Source organism: Homo sapiens, chromosome 11 (genome assembly GCF_000001405.40).
Source record: "Homo sapiens chromosome 11, GRCh38.p14 Primary Assembly".
Taxonomy (NCBI): domain Eukaryota; kingdom Metazoa; phylum Chordata; class Mammalia; order Primates; family Hominidae; genus Homo; species Homo sapiens.
The window spans coordinates 49,378,396-49,403,859 of record NC_000011.10 but is presented as its reverse complement, the minus strand read 5'-3'; the positions used below and the strand labels follow the sequence as shown (position 1 = coordinate 49,403,859).

Genomic DNA, 25,464 nt, shown 5'->3' with positions numbered 1-25,464 from the left:
TTTTTTTTTTTTTTTTTTTTTTTTTTGAGACGGAGTCTCGCTCTGTCGCCCAGGCCGGACTGCGGACTGCAGTGGCGCAATCTCGGCTCACTGCAAGCTCCGCTTCCCGGGTTCACGCCATTCTCCTGCCTCAGCCTCCCGAGTAGCTGGGACTACAGGCGCCCGCCACCGCGCCCGGCTAATTTTTTGTATTTTTAGTAGAGACGGGGTTTCACCTTGTTAGCCAGGATGGTCTCGATCTCCTGACCTCATGATCCACCCGCCTCGGCCTCCCAAAGTGCTGGGATTACAGGCGTGAGCCACCGCGCCCGGCCTTCACCATTATTTCTTCCAGCCTCCAACCAAATTAATTTACTTTGTCCAGGTCTTCCCAGTCTCTTCAGTTTCCTTATACCTAGTTGTGCTTGTCTGCTTAGGATTTTCAAATAGTATCTCAGTTTGACTACTTTTGTTTCCAGTGTCATCTTTGAACACCATACTTTCTCTGTCCCTTGGTGGCATATTAAAGGCAGACCTACTCAATCCAGGCTCCTAGAAACCTCTCTGGGTCTGGCATCTGAGCCCTACATCTCTGGGAAGGTAGTTAAGACACACAGGTTTTTATGAGGTACCTTTCAGTCACAAGATTCTATAACTACTAAAAGGTCTGCAGCATAGCATTCTGATAGTTTATAAATGCATTTAAAAATAAATTGGCTGAAAAATTTGAGCTCTTGGAAACATCTTTATCTGTATAAGGCTGACCTAAAATCAAGACCACATAATTTTCAAATGATTACTTTTTATTTCGTACCATTTTAGATTTCAAAGAGAGACAAATATCATCCTACTTTACACATGTCCTAACCACACACATGTCCTAACCACACATTTTGGTTAATTTTAAAATCTACAATAAGTAAAAATTTACAGTTATTTCTGAAGTTATCTTATTAATCATCAGAAATTCCTAACGGTTACTAAACTTGGTAGCAGAGCAGCAGTCATCTTCTGACTCTCATTAGTTGTCAGACTTAAGCTAGCATGTCTAATTTCTGATACTGACTGTAGGAAAATCTGGCAAGAAGTGGGGAGTAGCACACATGGACACAGTGGAAGTCTGTGGGAGGAAACGATAAATACCAGGGAGTATATCCTCAACTTAGTACACAACCAGCAAAAAAGATTTCAAGCAGATCATTAACAATGGTGTCTGAGGATTAGAGTCAATTGTAGATGGGAATTGAAGCTAGTTAAATGAAGAGCAAGAAGGAATGGGAAAAGAAATTTGCACAATAGTCTGTAGAAGATTCTGAAGAAGGAATAACGGTGATTGGGGGCACCTTTAGTCACAGATCACACGTGTGGGCGGGTCTGGCTTACCTAACAGGGGCCAAGGTGTTGTGGACACTGCAAAACAACTATGTGTGAGTCACTTATCTAGGAATGATTTGAAGGCAAGATTTTAGTCCAGGGTGGTATGTTTAAATCATTTTGGCAACACATTTTGAATAAAAGTCCACCTAAGAAATTGTCATTGTTACTGAGAGGGAGCCATATAAAGTCATTTTTTTCCTTTGTCACAAGCAATTCCCTCCATCACTGCACCTCAATCTAGAACATCATTTTGTTTCTCTAGAGACTTGAGTTGTCTATTTGTATAAAAGCAGCATCTATGATGAAACCATCATCACTTTAATTCCATGGTTTTCTCAATATGGCATAGAAATTACATGACTGATATTTCAAACTGACAGTTCCATTAAATTATAATCAACATTATATTCTATGGCTTTTTTACTGAGACCTTTACAAATTGCTTCATTTTATGCTTCTGCTCTGATTATTTTCCATTGCTACATTATAAGCCACATTCTGTTGAAAAAAAAAAAGAGAAATAAGCAGCTGCTACTCTTTCTTTAATCTTTCTGTGTTTTGTAAAAAAAAAAAAAAAAAAAAAAAAAAAAAAAAAAAAAAAGGATTTTTAGTATCCAACCTTTCCAACAAGTCAAATATATAATTCTCCATCTGTAGAAATTACATCTGCAGTTGGCACAAGTCATTTCAGCCAGTGTCTCCAGCAGGCTAACAACTGGCATTAGTGGCGGATGTTTTTAGCTTTTTCCTTGTTAGTGTAGGCTTTGATTTTGTGGGATTTCTTTGTCATCATAAAAAGGGCCTAACTGGGGCCACCTATTGTGAGTTTGTTTTGGAGGACATGTCAGTAAAGCAAAGTTCCACTCCCCCTCTGATTAGATGCCTTCTGAAAGCTGCTGAAATGCAAATGTGAAAAGAGTTTTGGTTTTCTAATAAACTTTTTATTGCTTATTTTCAAAATCATTTGCCATTTTGTACAATGTAATGAAAATTAAAATTGGCTATGGAAACCACTTAGACCTCAAGAGCTTTCAAACTATTCAGCTATTTAAAACAATATGGGAAGAATTTAAGTATTTTTTTAAAGAAAGGCTTGCCAAAATTCTATATTGTTCATGTTTATCTTATTGTTTTATGAGTTCTTTTCTTAATAGCAATGTAAGAAATTATTCTTATGACTTCATGTTCATCTTCCAATTTTTATGTTTCATAATCATGATTATAAGGCATATTCTTATGATTTCTAGTTTTTCAATTAGAAATAAGTAACAAAGATGTTACAATTTAGTCAGTAGTTGTGATATTCAAATAACTGTGCTAGGCACTTTCATGTATGTTAACTCATTTAATAATCGACATGTTACCAATATGAGAATAAGTACTATTCATAGTGTCAAAGGAGGAAATTGGTTGAAATGGGGTAAACACCTTCCCAAGTTTACATGTCTGCTCAGTAGTTTAGGTAATTTATCTTGGATTTGAGTTTAGTTATTCCTAGGTGATTCTTATTATAAATTTAATTGTTATATTTTACTCAATTATGTTGAAGTGTAATAACCAACTCCTTGCTACTAAACAGTTTTGATTTAGCTTTTGTCATCATTTTGTTTAATATTGTAATACATATCTTGGTTCATATACCATTTTATTTATCTTAGGTTATTTTCCAGGAGTAGGTTCTCTGGGTCAAAGCACATGAATACTTTTCATAACTTTTCTAATGGACTGCCACAGCGCTCTTGAAAAGGGTTGTGTGGACTTAAAAATGCAAAGAAAAGAGTCTAAAATAAAGGACATCGAAAGAATAAATGAGAAAATTAAAAGGTAAAGAACTTAGAAGAAAGAAGACATGCTGCAGTTATCTTTGAGGGGAACTGAAGAGCCTTATTTAAGTTAGAGCCTTAACTTCATGTGAATTTAACATGGCATAGGCTGAGATATTAAGTGCATTAAAGGTATGAGAAAATTTTTAACATATGTGGCATCTCAAGTCAGATTCTATGAATTTCATTCCTGGTTCAATCTCTCACTAGCTGCATAACCTTGTGTGAGTTATCTTACCTCTGTGTGCCCCAGTTTTATCATTGTTAAAATGCATGAAATAATAGTACTTTCCTCAGCATGTCCTGAAGAGTAAATCTGAAGCCTTTACAGTAGTGCATAAGTATTCATTATTATTTCACAAGTTCTCATAGAGTATGTTAACTCAACATGTTACCTGTTTTAAGAAGGAAAGATAAAAATATAACCACACATTTTGTTTTTCAATAATAATTTTGCCAAACCATGAATAGTAATGTACCTATTTAATAAAATGATATTATGATAAATTTACTTTGAAGACAGAGAAACATTTGGGGACTAGAAATATTAATCATGCAAGTACATAGACTTCTAGCTCATAAACAAAAGTTGGCTATTAAAGCATCTATGATGTGGTACTGGGCTTGAACCTAAAGCACATCCTTGGCCAACTGTCTCTAGCAGGATAAACTCCTCTGAGCTAGAGAGTGTTGGTTCACTTTTAATCATTCACTCATTCATTCAAGGAACAAGTCTTTATAGAACACCTACTCTGTCTTGGCACTTTGCTAGAGGTACAAATGTTAATAAGATTTAGTCTCTATTCACAGTGAAATCACAGTACTCTGAGAAACAAGCCTATGAGCACATCATTGCAAAATTATAAATACCATCATAAAGGAATATTCCATGTTTTATAGAAGTAATATAATTAATATTGCAGGGGTACAATATCATCAGGGGAGCTGTAGAAGGTTTCAAAGAAAAGCTAATAATTGAATGGTATTCCCAGAAGTTCACCAGGTAGATGAGGTGATCGATAATCTGAGCAAAATGATAACATGAGCAAAGGTAAGTGCCGACAAGCTATGGCTAATGGGCTAAATCCTGCCTGGCAGTTGTTTTTGTAAATGAAGCTTTATTGAAACACAGCCAAACTCATTCATTTACATTACATATCATCTATTGATGTTTTAATGCTACAATGGTAGAGCTAAGTAGTTGCAACAGCAACCATATGGCCCAAAGCCTACAGTATTTACTATCTTGCCTTTGATTGAAAAAGTCTGCTGACCCCTGGCATAAACCAAATCAGAAAAATTCAGATTAGATGAAGATAGATCAATGTAGATAAAAAAATCATGAAAAAGAACTTCACCTTAACAATTGAGAAAACAATAGTTGATTAGGGTTTTCGTTATTCTACTGTTTTGCCAGTTTATTTTAAAGATATAAAGTGCTTTGGTGCAGATATGTAGACATAGATATAGTAACAGACATACATACACACACAGACACACTCTGAATTATATGAATAAGGTATGTGGGATTTTAAATATTTTTTTCTGCCAGAAAATCTACAAATTTCCTAGATTTTTGTTTTATTGATCTTCTTTTTATTCCCTACTGTATCAGTCAATTTTCACGCTGCTGATATAGACATACCTGAGAGTTGGCAACTTACAAAAGAAAGAGGTTTAATTGGACTCACAGCTGCACGTGGCTGGGAAGGCCTCACAATCTTGGAGGAAAGCAAGGAGAACAAATCACATCTTACATAGATGGTGGCAGGAAGAGAGGGAATTCGTGCAGGGAAACTCCACCTTATGAAGCCATCAGATCTCATGAGACTTATTCACTACCACGAGAACAGGATGGGAAAGACCTGCTCCCATGATTCAATTACCTCCCACTGGTCCCTCCCACAACACGTGGCAATTCAAGGTGAGATTTGGGTGGGGACACAGCCAAACCATATCACTCACTGTTGCCATTAAGTGTCCTTCCTATGGAACACCCATCTCTTTGTAAGCTCAGGAACCCAACCATTCTGAAATTCCTGAGTTTTTGCTTCACTAATTTTCCTCATTCTTCCCTGTGTCTTCAACCCTTCCCATACTGTAGGGTCCTTAATGCTTCAGCATTCAGATATGCTTAACTTAAAAAAGAAAAGTCACTCTCCATTAATAGCACATGAGCTAAAATAAGTTATGCACAGGTGAGAGTTTCTTTGACCAAGAAAGGCCAAAATAAAAAAAAAGCTGAATTTCCACTTAGCTTTTGCCCTATTTCTTTCTATAGCCAAACTTCTTATAAGGCTGTTTATATTTGTGGTCTTTACTGCTATGTCTTTTACTGACTACTTAACACACTTCAATTCGTTTTCTGTTCTGCCTCTCTATGGACATTTTCCTTACCATGGTCACCAAAGGTGTCTATACTGACAAATTAGATGACATTTTTGGTACTCATTTAACTTGATTCTCTCTTCTACGTAAACACTCTTTCCTTATGGTTTCTGAGCAGTAACTCACCTGTAGGTGTTTTCTTCCTGTCTGCTTTTTCCTTCTTGGCATTTCCAAAAGGTTCAACTCTTCTATCTCTAGATGTTGAAGGTTTTTTAGTTTGGGTTCTCTAAGGCAGATGTTTGCATGCAGGTGGTTTTTAGAAAGTGTTTGTAAAATTTGTTCTCACTCATAAGTAGGAGCTAAATAATGTGTACATATGGACGCAGAGTTTGGAATGATGGACAATGAGGAATCCACGGGGTTGAGGAGTGGGAGGAGGATGGACAATGGCAGGTTTCTTGGTGGGTACAATGCACATTGCTCCAGTAATGAATGCACTGAAGGCTCTGACTTCACCACAATGAACTATGTCAATGTAGCAAAAATTGCACTTCTATTCCATGATTATAAATAAATAAAAATTCAAATAAAGGAAATAATAAAAGAAGAAAAGGAAAAATGCTTGCAGAACTAATATCTCTAATGGCGTAAGAGAAGTACGGAGTGAAAGGAAGAGAAAAAGCAATGTAGTAGAGGCTTCAGCCCACCCTATGGGGAGCTCTGCAGCTAGGAGAAATATGAATATATATACAAACATATAAACATACATATAAGCATATGTATAAACTTTTTATAAGAAATTTGTCTCACATAATTATAGGGGTTGACTAAACCAGTCTGAATTTTGTAGAACAAACAGGAAGGGAAGATAAGCTGACTGAAACTAGAACCTCAAGGACATGAGCTAATGCACAGGTGAAAGTTTCTTTGACAAAGAAAGGTCAAAACCCTTTTTTAAAGACTTTCCAATGGATTAAGCTCCACATTGCAGCTTAAATTATAGATCCCTTGGGTTCACAATTCATTTTAGTCACCCCTAAACTTTCATTGTTGTTTTTCAGCATCAATGTATCAATAGCACTCAAAAAGAGCCACTTCCTTTGAACTTCCCAAATCCCTAAATTATGCTTTAGTTACAGGTGCATTCAATTCTTCTATAAGCCCATTCCAGTTAATACTGGTAAAGTTTTTAACAATTGCCCACTATGTCATGCTAGGAGCTATCTGTATTCCAACTACTACTAGTGTTGGAGTTTTCATTGCCAATTAACTGGTGGATTATCCAGCAGCAAAATCCTATTTCAGAGAATGCTTCCTAAGACTACTTTTGGCACCAGTAGTCCTCAGGTTCCCCAGAAGTCTCAGGTGATCCAACAGCTATCTGAAGTTGGGATGGTCTTTTAGAACTGCCCCACGTCAAAGCCAGGAGCTTCAGTATTTGTTTTCCCACATTGTCTAGTCATTGCATTTGAGCTGCCCCAGGCAAGAGACTCAGGCCAGAGACTCCCTTCTGTGAGCACACTTCTTGAAGAGGGACTCAGCTATGAGCAATCAGCAGCCAACACTAACAGTAGCTGGGGGAAATGAATGCTTTGGTCCTTCAGGAACAATCTGTTCAGTACAGCAGAGCATCCACTACATGGGGATGATCTTATTACTGTCATCTTGCCATTCTACTTCCTGCTTAAGTATTCTTTTCTAAAATTCCAGAATTGTTGATGACTCCCAAGCTTATATCTCTAGTCCAAGCTTCATCTTAGAGCTTCTGATTGATATATCCAATTGCTTATTTTAAAATTTACTTAAATATTTTACAGGAATTAAAACTGAACACATCTAAAAGTGAACTCTTACTATCATCCTAAATATCAATTCTCAGTGAAATCATGTCTCTTGTAGCAACATGGATGGAGGTTATTATTCTAAGTGAAATAACTCAGGAATGAACCAAATACCATATGCTCTCACTAATAAATGACAGCTAAGCCATATGCTATGCAAAGGCATATAGAGTGGTGTAATGGACATTTGAGACTCAGAAGGTGGGAGGATGGGAACAGGGTGAGGGATAAAAAAGTTACCTGTTGGGTATAATGTATACTGTTTGGGTGAGGGGTACACTTAAAACCCAGACTTCACCATTATACAATTTATCCATGTAACCAAAAACTACTTGTACCCCTAAAAATTATTGAAAAAAATTACTTTCTCTTCCAAACTTCCACAACTTAATAAATGGCACCTGTACCCAGGTTATTTCTCACACAATAAACTTGGAAGTCTTCTGTGATATAGTTTCCCACACATCTAATCTATTTGCAGTAGTCCTATTTCTGCCTGCAATATGCAATGACTTTGGCATGTCTCTACTTCATTCTAACATGCCCTCACTGTCACATCACAGCCATCTCTCTATTTCAGTTCTAGACTAAGTCATAATCTTCTGTTGTTGAAACTACTGCAATAGCCACTTAACTTAATTCTAACTCCCCCACTTGCCTTCTTCTAATCCACAGAGCAATTAAAGTGACCATTTAAAAAGATGCTTATAACACTTCAGAAGCTTAATATTTCTCTCCAGTTAAATTCCAAATCCTCAACAAAAACCTCCTGTTTTAGCCCCTGCCTGCCTTTCCAGTTTTATTTCATGCTATTCTGCAACTTACTTTCAGTACTTTGGCAAGTAAATTCAATGAATCCGTTTCCACTAGATAATAAATTTCATGAAGATAAATTCTGCATTAATTTTGAGAAATTAGATTCCCAATGTCTGGTCCATAGTAAGAATAGGATAAATATTAAATGGAAGAATGAAAGTGAAACTCATCAAAAATTAAATCTAAGCAAATAGAGAAAAGTAAAAACAGAATAAACGTATTTTATGCTTAAAAAACAATAAGATCTAGCCCTCACTTCAGTATGTCAAGGACTTCCAAAAAGTGAAGATTGCTGATAGCTCTGAAAGAAGTCCAGGTTGCATTAAACTAGGTAATACTTCAACTAAGAGGAAATAGAGAACCCAAACTGGTAAACATGGTGACACTGAGAAGTGGGAACTACTTATAGAAAAATCCTCAGTACAAGTTGAAGGCATCTTGATGTGATAAATCTTTCAGTGACTCTAAAAGACAATGTTCTAAGATGGAGATGGTGAACATTTCCATCAGAGCTTCCATAGCATGATAGATCATAAAGAAAAGTTATTAATAATAGGCAATACTGGAATAATTCATAAAAATAGTTTGGTTCAAAAAAATTATTTTCAGATATCAATGGATGAAACATGAGTTGAAATTAGAACACCAGGCTAAGATATGCGGGGCTACAGAAGTAGCTAGAAAGAAGTTCTGGCCCTTAAGATGGTTTCAGCCTAGGAAGAAATATAAAAAATATTTATACTCCCAAGCTATAAAAATGTGATAGATTTGGCTTAGGGCTATAGAAGAAGAGTTATGAAAGATGAAAGATTTTATAGACTTAATACGTAGGGAGGATTTTATAATATGTGTCAAGATCTGGGTATTTTACATATTTGATCTCATTGCATTATCACTAAAATTTTGTGAATTTATTATTATTGTCACTTGCAAGATAAAGAAACTGATATGCTAAGAGGCTTAGTAGCATGCCCAAAGTCATGCTGCCACTATGAAATTGAGATCCAAACCTACAGCTTAACTCAAAGTTCATAGATTTTCCAATATACTGTGTTGGTAGAGATTACCGCCAGGTGTGTGTGATTGTTTAATGTGTGTATATGTATCTGGTATTAGCATCAAGGAAAAATCAAGGAAATAAGTACATTTAAACTGATCTTTCTGGTTATTCAAATGACTGGTGTATCTTAAATCAAGGTTTGAAGGCCAACACCAAAAGTGTGTTGAGAATTTTAAGTTTGTGTCCTTTGATAATAATGTAGCTTTTCTAGAAAAGAAACCCTGCTCTCCTGCCCGTCAAACAACTACAGGTCACCGGGGTGTGCACCTTGTAAAACTTCATTAAGGTACATACTTACTTGATGCCTAAAAATATTTTGAGTGTAGACACAGACATTAAGTAAAAAAGAAGACCAGGAGCTATAGATATTAAAATTTTTATTAAAAACATTTACAAGTACACATGGAAAAAACATTTTTTATTGCTAGTAGTCTAATGTTAGTAGTCTTGAATTTAATGCTGCTCTATATTAGAAAATGAATTAACTAGCTGGTGTTAAATTATCTCTAAAACTAGGATGGTGGCCATGGAAGGAGAAAAGGACAGATGTGAGAAACCTCAAAATGAGAAAATTAAGAGGACTTAGTGACATAAATAATAGAGAGGAAAAATCAAAATTCACATTCAACTTGAAATTGTTTTTTCCCTAAGTTTTCCTTTTTGTCTAACTAGACTAATAACTAGTCTTTTCTCTAACTAGACTATTACCTAATTTTTAAGTACTAAAAAGTAATGCGTTGATCATATACTTAATTAACTGTTTCCATTTAGTTTTTCTTTATAATATTTTAAGGAAAACTATTAAGATTCTTTTTATGGTTCTAAGTACCCCTAACAATACTCAATATTTCCTATTAGGCATGGCTTTTAGGTATAACAACACAATGAGAATTACATTTAATTTACCAGTTACTGAGAACTTATTGAAAATCAGAAATTTTGCTAGAACTCAGGGGTGAAAAGATGATTAAGACTCTAAAACCATGTACTACTTTGAAGAAATGCACACTTACTGGAGGTGACAGGCAAGCTGATAAATACCTATGAAATTATAATGAAAATGTAATCACTTCTGAAAAATATTTTAAAAACACACTTTCATAAATAAGTTCATAATATAGAAAAAATAACAAACTATCCATAGCTCACTACATTATTTCTTCAGGTTGGCCCAATTTCTTTCATAATTATTATAATAGATGCCTTTCTATCTTTTCTATGTTAGACATAATTCAATCACTATTACTATATAATTGACATATACTTGTCACATACACACCGGACATGAGTATATTATTTCAATTTTAATGAGGAGGACACTTGAAGAACAGAGAACTTCCCAAAGTCACACAACTAGTAAAAAGGAGAGACCAGGACTTTTAATCATACATTCCTGATTTTACATCCTCATCCTTCGTGCTATCCATACTATTTCCTTGACTTTCAAATTCATCTTTGTCTAATTAGTAAAATTATCATTATTAATAGCATTTAGAATTTACTTTGTGACCCTAGACACCTTACAGCTTATTGACTCATGTAACCCTCATTCTACAGATAAAAAAACTAAAGCTGATAATCATTTTTAAAACATCATCCAAGGTAACAGAGCTCACATTGGTGCAGGCAGGATTTTAACTCCAGCAGTATGACTTTACATTTTAGAGATTTTGTCTCAGAAGAAATTGTAACCACCACATTATATGGTCAGTTCTGGAATTCAATAGGTCCAGAAAGATATAAATCTATAAAGTCAATCAAAAGAAATCATCAGCCATCATCTTGACAGAAACCTAAAAGCTCCTGGACAAGCAATTGAAGCAGCATCACTGTGTCATGTATTGACCTTAAAATTGCTGTCTCAGGTAAACTGTTTATTCTGAATTTAAAAAAATAAACACTGGAAGAAAAACTCATCACTGGTAGTATATAAAACCATCATAAAGAACAGCTGATGAGGTATATTCTATTTTTCCTAGGAATATAACTTGTTGTCTAGGTTAAGGTTGGAATTATGAGATTCAATGAAATGAGATAGATTGGAGAATGCAGGGAAGATTACTAAGAGAAGAAAGAAGACTTTGGAAAAGCTAATTCTACCAACACAGATGACATCTACCACAATCCACTTTGGAAAAAGATGGGAGGAGATGGGTTGAGTAGAAAAATGAGCAGAGAAAAAAGCAAGGAATATTAGCGCTTTGGTGATATTATAATGTTTTAACTCTGACCTGCCAATCACCTCTGTTTTGTGTTAGGGAACTGACAGAGGAATATACAATAAACAATATGCAAAGGGGAGAGAAGGTTCTATTAACAGCGATGTCAGTGACTAACTTTAGTTTGGGGTTCTCTGCTAAAGCTAGGTTGGTGCACAAGACTTAAGCAATAGTCTCAAGTGAAACTTTCAATGGTTAGAAAAAAATGACTCCAAATCTGGGGCACTTACCACCCTTAGTCTATCAAATTGTGAAAGGAAGGCAAAGAGAGAAAAGAAGCACAACAAAGATGACAGCAACCTCAATGACAGTCTAGCATATGTATGGCATAGAAGAAATGGAAGAGAGAATGAGAATATGGGATAAGGTCCTGCATCCACTTTTCTCCCAGGGACAAAAGACAATGAGAGATGAAGGTACTAAGAGGCACGCAAATTGTGTCAGGGGTGCCCAGTATCACCTAGGTTTACTAATCCTCTAAGGATACTCAAGATCTCAGTATAGTTTTACTCACAGCTATGATTTACTACAATGAAAGAATACAAAGCAAAATCAGCAAAGGGATAAAGTGTGTGAGGTGAAGTCCAGGGGAAATCAGGCACAAGCTTCCAAGAGTCCTTTTCAGTGGAGCCGCACAGGATACACTTAATTCCTCCAGCAACAAGTTGTGACTTGCATGAAGTGTTGTCTATAAAGGAAGTTCTTTTAGACACTCAGTGCCCAAGGTTTTTATTGGAGGTTCATCACATAGGCATCTTGCCTAGCACATATCACAATTCCAGAGTCCCAGAAAAAAAGCAGGTGTTCAGTATAAACCTTATTGTTTGCACGAAAGTTTTGTAACATTCAGTCATTGTTATCATTTAGGGTAATGAGAATTGTCCTGAAATTTCAAGTTCCCAAATGCCAGCCAAGAGACAAGCTTGCAAGCACACTTTTCTAAAAAGGATATCAGTCTCAGGCCTGGTGTATTAACTTTTTTTCTGCACACAGATATATGTGTAATCCTTTACACACAAGAATCATAGCTATTAATAAATGTGACCAATAAAAATTTCACACCCTGTCCAAATTATTGTTCTCTATTCCCTATTCTTGAAGGCAGAAGAAAGAAAGGGACGAGAGGAAAGGCCGACCAATCAAAATAGAAAAGCATCTCTGTCTCCTACAGAAATGCCGAAGTTGGTTCAAAACCAGTAAGTGAAGAATAAAAAATAAGATATAAAAAGTTGCAGAATCTTCCTTCCCAGTTACCACACCTAGAAAAAATAGATACTGTCAAGCCTCATTATATGTAGATTCCATATTTGCAAATCACCTGCTTGCTAAAAATTTTTGGGACCCCCAAAATTAATACCTGCTGCACTTTCATGGTTATTTGCAGCCATGAGCAGAGCAGCCAAACATTTGTCTCTCCAGGCTGACATTCCCAGCTGAGCCCCAAGTGTAGTGAAGTTTTGTTTAGTGTTCCTAGGGACGTCCCATTAAAGTCTTTTTTCAGAATAAAACAAAAAGTCTATCTTCTTGTCTTGTGGATTATATATATTAGATAAACTTTGTCCAGGGATGAGTTCAATGTTAATTAATCAACAATATATATTAAATAAGGTGTCTTTAAAAAGAATCACACATATACAAGGTTATATATTAAAAGGTTGACGGAAATTTGATCATAGGTTCACGGGAGCCTATCTGAGAGTAATGGTTTGCTATTCACTAATTCAGTCTGTGTGGCAAATTTATAGAACAAAACTACCATAAATAATGAGAATTGACTCCACTTCAAACATCACTTCATACACAAAGAACCTCTATCTACCATAAAGTCACCGGGTTCTGCAGCACATTGTGCACGTTAGGGAGCTATAGCAACCATGGGCACAGAAGGGGCTGTGACTGGGCAGGGCCAGTGCCTCAATGACTCCTCTGAGCCCTGGGGCAGAGAAAAACTCAGAATCAAGGATAATAGGCTAATTCAAGCGCTGAATTGGAAACAGACAAACTCAGAGCTTGGATTAATCCAAAAACCCAAACAAATAGGCTTTTGCCAATTGTGGCAGCGAACTTTGGGTCTTAAAGTCTGTAGCTGGGTTATTAACCAACAGGGAAAAACAAGGTTCAAGGTTAAAGTTAGGTTCCAGGAAATAGGTAAGGAAAAGAGTTTATATTAGAAAACAAAACAAAAGATGTAGTCATAGTACAACTTCAAGGTATAGCTGTGGCTCTCAGGGCTCTGTCTGTCTGTTAGCCCTAATTTGAAGCACTCTTCCTGTTACTGGTAGGTAAGGGTTAAAGGGAAGGGGTAACTGCCCCAAAAGACAAGGCTTAACAATGCCCACATGGTCATAATATATATTACTAGATATTTTGTTTCAATCTGCTTTGGAAAACAGGTATAAGGTAACTATGCCCTCAATATTTCCCAAGTGTCCCATTAGATATTTAAAATAAATAACTAAACAAACCACTTCCTATGATCACTGTAAGAGAAAACCAAGGCACAGAGGCTGCTATTTAAAAATCTTGAAATCTGAGTTTATTTACCAGTCAAAACCTCCATTAAAGTCTTTTATCAAAATAAAACACAAATTTAATTTCAGAAATCACCTTGTCAAAATGCATGTGCATTTGGAATCTGTCATAATTAGCAGTTACTCTAAGTGTATTTTTTCACACAATATTTGGGTCTATATCTGAAATGCAAAGCCAATTCTGGCATGTATGCTTACATTTCCCAGTTGATTACACATTTATCAGCAAGCTGCAAACTTGGCCTCTGCAACACAAGCCACTTGTAAAGATTTCTCAGAGATTTTCTTGCCTAATAGAAAGTCTGATGAGAAACTTTTACTGTCACATATTTTCATATTTTTCAGCCCTAGCAAACACATTCCTGACACGTGAATCAATACAAATAAGGGAAGACATTTCAGAGAAACTGTTAGTCTTCAGAATTGAGATTTGCATCAATGCCTCTCTGATTTGTGCATCCTTCAAATATTTTTTCCCCAATTATCTTTTGTGTTACTCTCTCGCTGGCTGCTGCTGATGAGTAATTTTACAACACTGGTGCTATTAAAGCATGCACTCATGACCCCATTGTGACACAAAGCAAATAGTGCACATAGCGAATGCAAGCACATAACTGCTAATCTTGCCTTTTAAATGCATTTGAACTTGACCTATTGAAATAACCATTACAGAATGTATGACAGCTTGGCAAAATAGAAGGGGCAAGACACCATCTCAGGAAAGCAGACTCTTTGAAAATAAATCACGAAAGACTGCAATGTGGTAGGAATTGATTGAGAAAAATGCAGTACCACAGTGAAGTAACCTGCTTAAACCCTACAAAACAAGTCACTACTTCTAAAAGCTCTGTAAGTTAGAGCTCAGTGGCATCTGATTTAATCCATAAATGACTCTAAAAGAAAACAATGGCTAATAATTTAATGTAAAGAGCATATATTTAAAAACATCAATAATATAATGTCTTGTATTCTGAAGCAAATATATTTTCTTTTTTCTTTTCTTCTTTCTTTTTTTTTTTTTTTTTCCCAGATGGAGTTTCAGTCTTGTCGCCCAGGCCAGAGTGCAATGGCACAATCTCAGCTCACTGCAACCTCCACCTGCCTGGTTCAAGTGATTCTCCTGTCTCAGCCTCCCGAGTAGCTAGGATTACAAGTGTGAACCACCATGCCCGGCTAATTTTGTACTTTTAGTAGAGATGGGGTTTCACCATGTTAGCCAGGCTGGTCTTGAATGCCTGACTTCAGGTGATCCACCCACTTCGGCCTCCCAAAGTGCTGAGATTACAGGTGTGAGCCACCATGCCCAACCAGCAAATATATGTTCATGCTGCTGATGCAGGAAAGCATTTCAACTTGGTATAGCCTAGGCATATCTTAGGACCTTTAAAGGTGCCCACAGTCATATATACTGAAGCATTTTTACTCATCCTATCCACTATAAAATTATCAATCCTACTGAGAGTCAAAGTCAACATAGAAACACAAGCTATAATGATTCTCAGAGAGCATTTTTAGAAAAAAGACTGATATGCATTTTACTGACAGGAAAAGTAGTTTTCAGATGGTATCAGAACACTGGTCTCTAGGACAGGGCTTATGGCAAATGGCTCATATCCCACCTTGGTAAATGTTAGGCACACTTGACAGTAACTCTACTATTATTCTTTATTTTATGTCATTTGAAGATTCCAAAAAAGGGAGATTATGATGTGCTGGATAAAATAAACAAAAATCTGTAAGCAGGAGTTTTTACATGTGTGTAAATATGTACTGTATACTCAATGTTTAGGTAAGATTGACTCCTCAATGGTCAAACATAAAAGCTCAACATTTAAACTTCATAATGAACATACTATGTTTTATTAATTTTCTGTGCAAATATATATATTTTTAATATTTTAAAATTATATAAATATTTAATGTTCCTATCTTACTGGGCACAATTATGAGATTTAAAAATAATAAGAAAAAACAAACCAAAAATAAAACCAAAATCCCAAACCCCGCATGTTAAATTTAAATATCAGAATCCTATCATTCCCAATTACATATCCTGCTGTAAGGAAAATTACAGAAGCATTGAGTGGCTTGGAAATTAGAACACTTTCGAAGTGTTTCAAAGGAGTAGTTCTTAAATACTACTTTTTTATTATCTTCACATGTAAGACTGATCCTTCTTTAGGATGAAAACAACACTATGCTCTTCTCAAAATCCTAGAGAAAATTCTTGATTATTATTGCCAAAAGTGCATAATTCCCAATGAAAAGAGATTTTAAGTATGTTTGAACAAATTTTATTTGTTTCAATTGTAAGCACTGTGTCATGTTCTAAAGCAATAAAGGTTTTCCTACATACTATGACTTTATACATGCTATGACTTTATAGCAATAAAATTATATATAAATATATGCATATTTTCGATTATTTACGAATATTGAATTTCATTTAGTGCTTTCTCTTCAGCACTGTATAATGCCACACTTTCATTTAACTAGATAACAAGGATCAAATGCCAAACCTGGATTGCTGAGCATCTCACACTTGGATGGGAGGACTACACTTTCTCTAACTGCAAACCCGAAATTGTTGAATGCTATGAAAGCTGGAGGGTGTTACTAAGCATTATTCTAGAATTTCATTTTCACTCGAGTTTTTTTTTATAATCCACCATAAAAATACACACATGCACACACACATTATTTAAATATAAAAATATACAAGATAACATGAGATTTGATGAAAACCCATAATGTAAAATATCTCCAGTAAGAGTAAACAGCTATACATTTACTTTATTCCCATCTAAAAAAAAAAAAAAAGCAGATAAAACGTCTTGCATTTTTTGTAAATGGAAGGATTTCTAGTGATAAGACATAGGTCTTGAATTTAATTCAGTAGAACCTCTCATAAACACCTAAATTTTCCTCCATTAAATCTTAAATAAGTGGGATAACTTATGCTACCCTCTGCAATTCCTAACTTAATTTTCATAAGTCAATACAATTATCTCTAGCCATATTGGGCCTGACCAAAACTAGCTAAGAGGAATTCAGAAAGCATATACTAGATTTAACAAAAGACTTTCTTTGTGGGGAGCAGAACAAAGACAGACAGTGGTGCTGGTTTGCTGTGTGTGTTTCTCTACTCGCCCAGAAAATAAAATTAAATAATCAATCTTTCAGGCACAATGGACTGCAACTCATAAAAGCCTGAGTTTTACTTTCTTACAACAGTGTTTGATTTTTACTCTGTCATCAAAAGTCTACTAAGGGAGATTTGCCTAGGAAATCTCTCTCTTCACCACACTTCTCCTCCCTCTTCCACATTTTTGCCACACTACAACCCTGGTAGATATTATTCCCATTTTTATGTGAGTGGTCTAATATATTTCAGGGATGAAGGCTCCAAATTTTCTGATTTCTCTCTCAGAAGCCTATTTACTCCATAACCATTGAATGTGGCTGAATAGAATGGTAACACTGGCACTCTCTCAGGGTAGAACAGCATGTCATCCAATTGTATGCTTAATTTTTAAAGTGATTTCTACTTTTCCCACCTCTAATTTAATTTTTTTATTATTTATTTATTTATTTATTTTTGAGACCGAGTCTTGCTCCTGTCCCCCAGGCTGGAGTGCAATGGCCAAGCTTGGCTCACCGCAACCTCCGCTTCCCAGGTTCAAGTGATTCTCTTGCCTCAGCCTCCCGAGTAGCTGGGATTACGGGTGCCTGCCCCCATGCCAAGCTAATTTTTGTATTTTTGGTAGAGATGGGGTTTCACCATGTTGGCCAGGCTGATCTCGAACTCCTGACCTCAGATGATCTGCCCGCCTCAGCCTCCCAAAGTGCTGGGATTACAGGCGTGAGCCACAGTGCCCGGCCTTAAAACAAATTTTAATGAAAAGAGAAAAAAAAAAGATAATCTTCTGCTAACGCCTTTTGGTAAGCAGATAATTGTCATATTTAAATAAAGGTGTAATTGCACCTGGTGGGCACCCAGTTCTGCCATTAAAAATGCCACACTGACTGAAGAGATTGTATTTTCCTAAACCTGTTAGTCCCTGGGAACCTAAAGAATAAACTGTGCAGCACATCCAATCACAGAGTGTAGGGTATGTCCCAGGTCATGTTCTAACATACATGCGGTAAGGTATTTTACATTCCTTTGAGGTTCAGCTGCAGATAGAAACCTAGAAAATTTAACAGCTTTGTCTTTAGCCAATGTGTTGGCTGCAGTAAATTTTTAAGCAAGTAAGCAAAGCTCCCATCTTATGCACTGTGGATATTTCTCACCACTAAAATGAATTACATAGTCATACTAAATTGATACTAGGTTCAAGCGAATATGCTGTTATAAGTAAATATATATACTTTTATGTTACAACAGAGACAATGTGTGTATCTCAATGTCTACAATTGTTAAGAAGGTTTTCATTCCCTGGGTGAAAGGATAACGGTTGTGAAATATGACCTTGCAATGACAGAATTTTAATGCATTGTGTATGTGACTAAAGCAATGCATGGCATCCTGGCCTTCTTTATTGCTATGTATATTAGAGTATTTTGCAGTGCTGGCTCTCATCTAAGTGTCGGGGTCTTCTCTAGGTCAAATAGCAGCTCGTCAATGCTTTATTTCTTAAAGAACCTAGATGTAATTTTAATCTAAGATAAAGTTTCTTGCTAAAATTCTAATGTCAGTGAAAATGTGAAAAGTTCCTTAAAATCTAGCCAAACATCACATTCTTTCACATTCTTCCAAACCAGAGAAATAGCCAGTTTACTATGTATTTAAGCATCTTTTGAGTTATAAAAGGAAAAACATTATTATGTCCTGATGTGTTAAATGATTTTGCTTTCCCTGACAATTTTTATTCCTCCTATGAGACATTTCTTGCCCTTCCTAGTTCCAAAATGTGAATTTTAACACTTTGCATCAGGTTGTTGGTCTCCGTTCTAAAGCAACATTAAACTTTCTGCTAATTTTTATAAAAGATCCACATGGCCTTTTTTTCTCTTATCTTATAATAAACCCCTCTTTCCTAAGTATTAGATGTTTTCTGCTTTTTCTCTTTAGAAAACTTAGTTTAGCTAGTCTTTGCAATTCTGTCCTTTGAGAATAAAGAATATAATAGTATAGAATAGAATAAAGAGTCTTACAGAATAGAACAATAAAGTTAGCGCAATAGAGAGGATATTTAGAAGAGAAATAACAGTGAGTTCTCATTGTCCTGAGGTGGCTGAAGTAAATGCCAATCTCAGTACATTTGATTTCATTTATTTCCTGTCTCACTAGTTTACAAAATGCTGACTCTTTTCTCCTGGGCAAAAAGTGAGTTATGGTCATGTGAGTAGTGAACAATAGTCATTTGTTTTGACACCAGTTTTTCCTGGGTGGTTAGAAAGCTGGTGAAGTTATGATTTTCATCTATCAACTTGAATTTAAAATTATATTATTAGCATTTTCTAGAAACTACACTATTACAGATTTCTCCAATGCAAAACTCTGGAGAACACAGTCCCTTTACCACAATTATCATACTTAAAAACAGGTATATGAAAATGGTTTTTAATAGGCAAAACATACTAGACTAACAAATTTAGAATAAGAAGATAGATTCGTAAGAAGAGTATAGTTTTCTGAATCAGAATCTGGAATTAACACTCAGTATCATATTTTCCACATGGCACTAAACAGGGTTTAACAGGGAGATTCAAACTCACAGCGCAAGATATTTTTATTAGATGAAGATTTCATGGGGAGGTGAAGAGCCTTTCAATAGAAGAGATTAAAAAAATTGAACTCCAGGACGGGCACAGTGGCTGACGCCAGTAATCCCAGAACTTTAGGAGGCCGAGACGGGCGGATCACAAGGTCGGGAGATGGAGACCATCCTGGCTAACACGGTGAAACCCCATCTCTACTAAAAAAAAGTACAAAAAATTAGCCGGGCGTGCTGGTGGGAGCCTGTAGTCCCAGCTACTCGGGAGGCTGAGGCAGGAGAATGGCGTGGACCTGGGAGGCGGAGCTTACAGTGAGCCGAGATCATCGCGCCACTGCACTCCAGCCTGGGCGACACTGCGAGACTCTGTCTCAAAATACATAAATAAATAAATAAATAAATAAATAAATAAATAAATAAATAAAAATAACTGAATTCCAGTCTCAGGTCTGCTACAAACTCAATAGATGACTTGTAGCAATTTTAGGCCTTAGTTTTCCCAATCGTAAAATAAGACTACTCCTACCTTCAGTATTTTATATTCAACAATATAACTGTATATGGAAAAAGTCATAGCTAGCACAAGAAAAGGAAACTTCTTAAAGTGAACAGCAACTTAAAAATGTTCCCCTTGGTTTGTTTAGAAAACTCACTTTTTGTCTAGTATAACCATCCTTAAGAAACAAACCTTTTTTTCTTAAAATGTCTTCTCTTTTTTATAATGAATATTCTTCATCACTAGCATTATCTGTTAATGACAACAGTCCAATTGCCTCCAGTGAATCTCTTTAACAACGGCTCATAATTTAAATCCATCACCCGCTGTGAATGCTCCAAGTAAACACTGATTTGTGGGTTTATAAATCACATGGCTGTGTAGATTAAATTGATTCAGCCTGTTCCTTGTCTACATTGCTTTTATGCTGTTGTTTTAAATGCCTATACTACCACAGTCACCCAACTGGCATTTTAACGTCACTGAATGAAGAACTATCAAGCATTTCTCTTTTAACTTGAAATTTTTAAAAAAGCAAATGAAGTCCCAATTGTATCTATCTATATGTATGGATTTATGTAGTATATATGTACAAGTGTGTGTGTATGAATCATAGTTTTTTAGAATTATTTATATTTAAAAATTATAGCCTTCCCTTGCATAAATCAGGGTGATACAGCAAGATTAAAAACCAATGGAAAGTCCTATTGAATTCTCTGTTTGGAAACATATAAAGAGAATGCTCTTGTCCACAAAATAAATGTCTTGGTATAATCCTATAGAAATTGGTAGTTTGGGCCAGGCGTGGTGGCTCACACCTGTAATCCCAGCACTTTGAGAGGCCAAGGTGGGAGAATCACTTAAGCCCGGGAGTTTGAGACCAGCCTGGTCAACATTGTGAAACCCCTGTCTCTACTAAAAATACAAAAATTGGTGGCGTGTGCCTGTAGTCCCAGTTACTTGGTAGGCTGAGATGGGAGGATCACCTCAGTTCAGGAGGTGGAGGTTGCAGTGAACTGAGATCACATCACTGCATGCCAGTGTGGCTGGAAGACCCTGTCTCAGGAAAAAAAAAAAAAAAGACAGAAAAAGAAAAGAGGTGTATGAGTAGAAAGACCTATAGCAATAGCCATTTTGTTTAGAGGTTCTTAAACAGGTGTGCTTCTTTCTGGAGTGTGTTTGTAGGTTCCCCAAAATTGTAGGGATGTGCTGTATGTCATACTAAACATTTTAATCAGATTCTCAAAAGGATACACTATCCAAAAATTAATAAAATGACACATTTTAGTCTATGTATGAGAAGTAATTTGACTTAGTCACACCATTAGCCTGCAACAACGTTGATAGTTCCAGAACTCAGATTCCTAAGGCTTCTCATGCTAGTGTGCACTCAAATGCTAATTCCTTTTTTTTTTTTTTTTTTTTTTTTTTTGAGACAGAGTCTCACTCTGTTGCCAGGGCAGGGTTGGAGTGCAGTGGCACAATCTCAGCTCACTGCAACCTCGGCCTTGCCTCCCCAGTTCAAGTGATTCTCGTGCCTCAGCCTCCCGAGTAGCTGGGACTATAGGCACCCACCACCATGTCTGGCTAATTTTTGTATTTTTAGTAGAGATGGGGTTTCACCATGTTGGCCAGGTTGGTCTTCAACTCCTGACCTCAAGCGATCTGCCTGCCTCGGCCTCCCAAAGTGCTGGGATTACAGGTGTGAGCCACCACGGCCGGTGCAAATGCTAATTCCTGACAAGCAGAGTGTGTTTCCTAAACTTGCATCATCTTGTGAACAAATGTTGCTGCTTTATTAGTTCCAAAGTTATAGTGAGCTTATAGAAATTTCAAGGACACCATTTCAATTTTAACATTTATTGCTACTAAAATTAGTGATGTAAGGCTTGTAATATAAGAATGATCCCCAGAGAAATAATCCCTCAAAAATAAAACAAAGTTCTCTTAAACATGCAAGATGAAGCCCTGCAGAAGCAAAGATGACCTATGTTTGTCATTTAACATTTGAACACCTACTGGAACTTAAATAAGCAAGGAGGCTCATCTAGAATGGCAGACAAGCTTTGAAACATCATCTTTCTTTTGAAAAATCTTCTACCTGTTTTAATGAAATTAGGTCTGTTAATATAATCACATAAACATATGAGCAGTATAGAGTCAGTATTGCACATTAAGCCTGGACTAACTCGAAGTTTCTTTTCACTAGTTCTTTCTGTTAAATGTTTTCATGAAAATTCTTTTTAATCTAAAGACTGTTGTCAAGACATACTAGTTATTAAATATGCCTTCAGAGCTAAATCTGCATGAGCATTCCACATTTCCTGTCACTTTTTGGGGTTCATCTTCTTTCCACAGAAAGGAGAATTTCAAGGAAAGGAAGAAATATCTACAAGTAAATATCATTCAGTATGGGTTAGCATGCTTGATTGCTATTGGTGAATTATAGCAAAAAAAGGCCTTAGCATCTATAATGTTATGTTTCATGTAACATTTTAACAATGGCAAGGTAAGTCACACTGCTGATTTCAGCAATGTGTTATATTTGATAGCAATTGATAGCTGACTACTAAACAAAATCACTTAACTGTATGAATGTTTTAATTCTTTTTTTTTTTTTTTTTTTTTTTTTGAGATGGAATCTTGCTCTGTCACCCAGGCTGGAGCGCAGTGGTGCAATCTTGGCTCACTGCAACCTCTGCCCACCGGGTACAAGCGATTCTCTGCCTCAGTCTCCCGAGTAGCTGGGATTATAGGCGCCCACGACCACACCCGCCTAATTTTTGTATTTTTAGTAGTGATGGGGTTTCACCAACTTGGTCAGGCTGGTCTTGAACACTGACCTCGTGATCCACCCACCTTGGCCTCCTAAAGTGCCGGGATTACAGGTGTGAGCCATGAATGCCTTAATTCTTAAGATAGTAATGGGGAATATTGTTCTGAGCCAAGAATATGATAGCCAGGGAACATAAGTTTATAAGATCACACAGTGTAGTTCCAACAGTAACTTTAAACCCAATAGTTCCCTATGGAAACTCAGGATACCAAAAAGTGCAACTGTAATATTCTGGATTCTAAACTTAAGTTTGAATAAGAATATCATATTTCCTCTTAGTTAAAAGGTAAAATACAGGTTTTACTGTTCATGAATGTGACTAGACTTTCAATATCTCCATCATAAACCAATGTGTGACAAAGGAGATAAATCTTATATTCAGTCCCTACTGACACACATGATGTCCTTTGTTCTCAAAGTGCAAATTAACTAACTATCCTTAGAGGCTACAGCCTAAGACAAACCCTACCTGGGAAAAAAACAATAATAATAACAGAGACAAAAATGCTGAAAAAAGGAAAAAGTTATCAGTATATGTGTATATATATAATATATCCCTTTATAATTTATAGTAGGAATATTTTCATTACCATGCAATTGTGATAGATTTAAATAAAGATGAAAGGAACCTATTAAATCATTATGTCTAATGCATGCTAAGGGAAGGCATATTTCCCTAGAGAGAGGAATAAAAAGAAAAAATATATAAAAATAGATACTATAACAACGTTTGAGGAAGGTTCAGTTAGCATATAGTCTTCAGATATCAAATAGAGGTATTAGCATAAGTAGTGGAGACGATTAGATATTGACACAAAGTACCCGTATAAATACAGAGTCTTGTGCTGTGTTTTCAAACATCTAATATATTTGCCTGGAGTGCTTGCAAATTAAAGCTACTCTATTTATACACAACATAGAAAATGGAATTAGAGCTTCAATGAATTTTTAATTTTGTTCAATCTTGCATTTGTTCAACCAAAAACAATTTAAAGAGGAACACGACAATCAGCCTTAGACTGAGCAAGTTCAGCTCCTCACTAGGGGGTTCTTGAATCCACCATAAAAATCAACAGTGTGCATCTAATAGTTTTCTTTTAATTTGAGAACTGAAAAGTGAATCATCACATCAAATATTCTTCAGGGTCTCTTTGGTTTCCAGATTAAACATGTAATGTGACCGGTCATCTTGCCAGATTCTCACATTTCCATTTTAAATAATCATAAATTAGAAAACCTTACTATTCTTTGGCATAACACAGCTGTCTGATTCCGCTGAGTTCCAAAGTCTTAGAAATTGCACTCATTCCTTCTTTAGAGTCCTGCTTCATGGCAAAAGTTTTCAGCTGAAAGACTCTTTATTGTATTCAAATCTCGTCCCATATGAGTTGTTCTGGTTTCTCAGTTTATGAAGAGTCTTAGATAGTGAATTGGGTCCACAACAGAAAACACCAACTGTTTTCCTAGAACAAGAGCGGAGAAAATGGAAAATCAGGTGCAAAATTAGGCAGAACATGACAAGAAGTATGCTTTATGAGCATGGTTTAAAGTATTAACAAAGTTGATTTCTTGCTATTTTACATATTGAAAACAATTTTCTAATTATTTCCAAATATAAATGTCAACCAGGAAAATATTTTATTTACCTCATACTTTTCATTCTAGAATTTAGGATAATTCAAAGAATGTACCTATGAGCACAAATATGCTTATTATCAGGCAGAGATTTATCAGTTTGCCTTAGTCTTTTCATGACTTGTCATCGGTGAAACCAGCAACCTCATTAAGAGCAGTAATTGATAGATGTCAATTGCTAAACAGGTGACCTCTGAATAGATGTTCAGTCCACACTGGACAATGTACATTCTTCTTTTATTAGACACTTTACACATAGTTATCTAAAATTCCTACATGGATTTGCAAAAGCAGTGATGAATAAGGAAGGAAAGAAAAAAGATATTACCAATTTGAAATAATAATTTTAAGTGGTTAATTTATATTCACAGTAAAACGAAAAACATATTCATCTAGTTCTTTTTTATTTATGCACTGCAATAATGGTAACAAATTCCAAGCAGTTTTTATTATTCTCTAACATAAAATTTTAGTAGTTAAATAATACGTATCTCTAACAAATAGACTAAATAAATCCCAGGAAATAAATAATATTTCAAATTGACCTTCTTCCCAAGTTTGATTTGCATTTGATTCTTCCTAGGATGTCAAAATGATTAATATTTCATCTCATATCTTGGGAAAATCCAGTATGACTTAATTATCTCAGAATAACTCATGCTGAACAAAAGACATTGAATCCATTAAAACTGGTACCAAAAATTAATAGTAAATACTGAAAAAAAAAGTTATTAAAACTTTTTACCTTGAAAAATGAAACTAAAAGCTGTGAAAATATAATTTTACTTGCAGCCATGATGGGG

The 25,464-nt window shown here is 35.8% G+C and overlaps 1 pseudogene; it reads right to left on the bottom strand.

Moving 5' to 3' along the window:
* Positions 1–23,759: 23,759 nt before the first annotated feature.
* Positions 23,760–25,464, bottom strand: part of NOX4P1 (NOX4 pseudogene 1) — a 74,386-nt pseudogene continuing 72,681 nt past the window's right edge.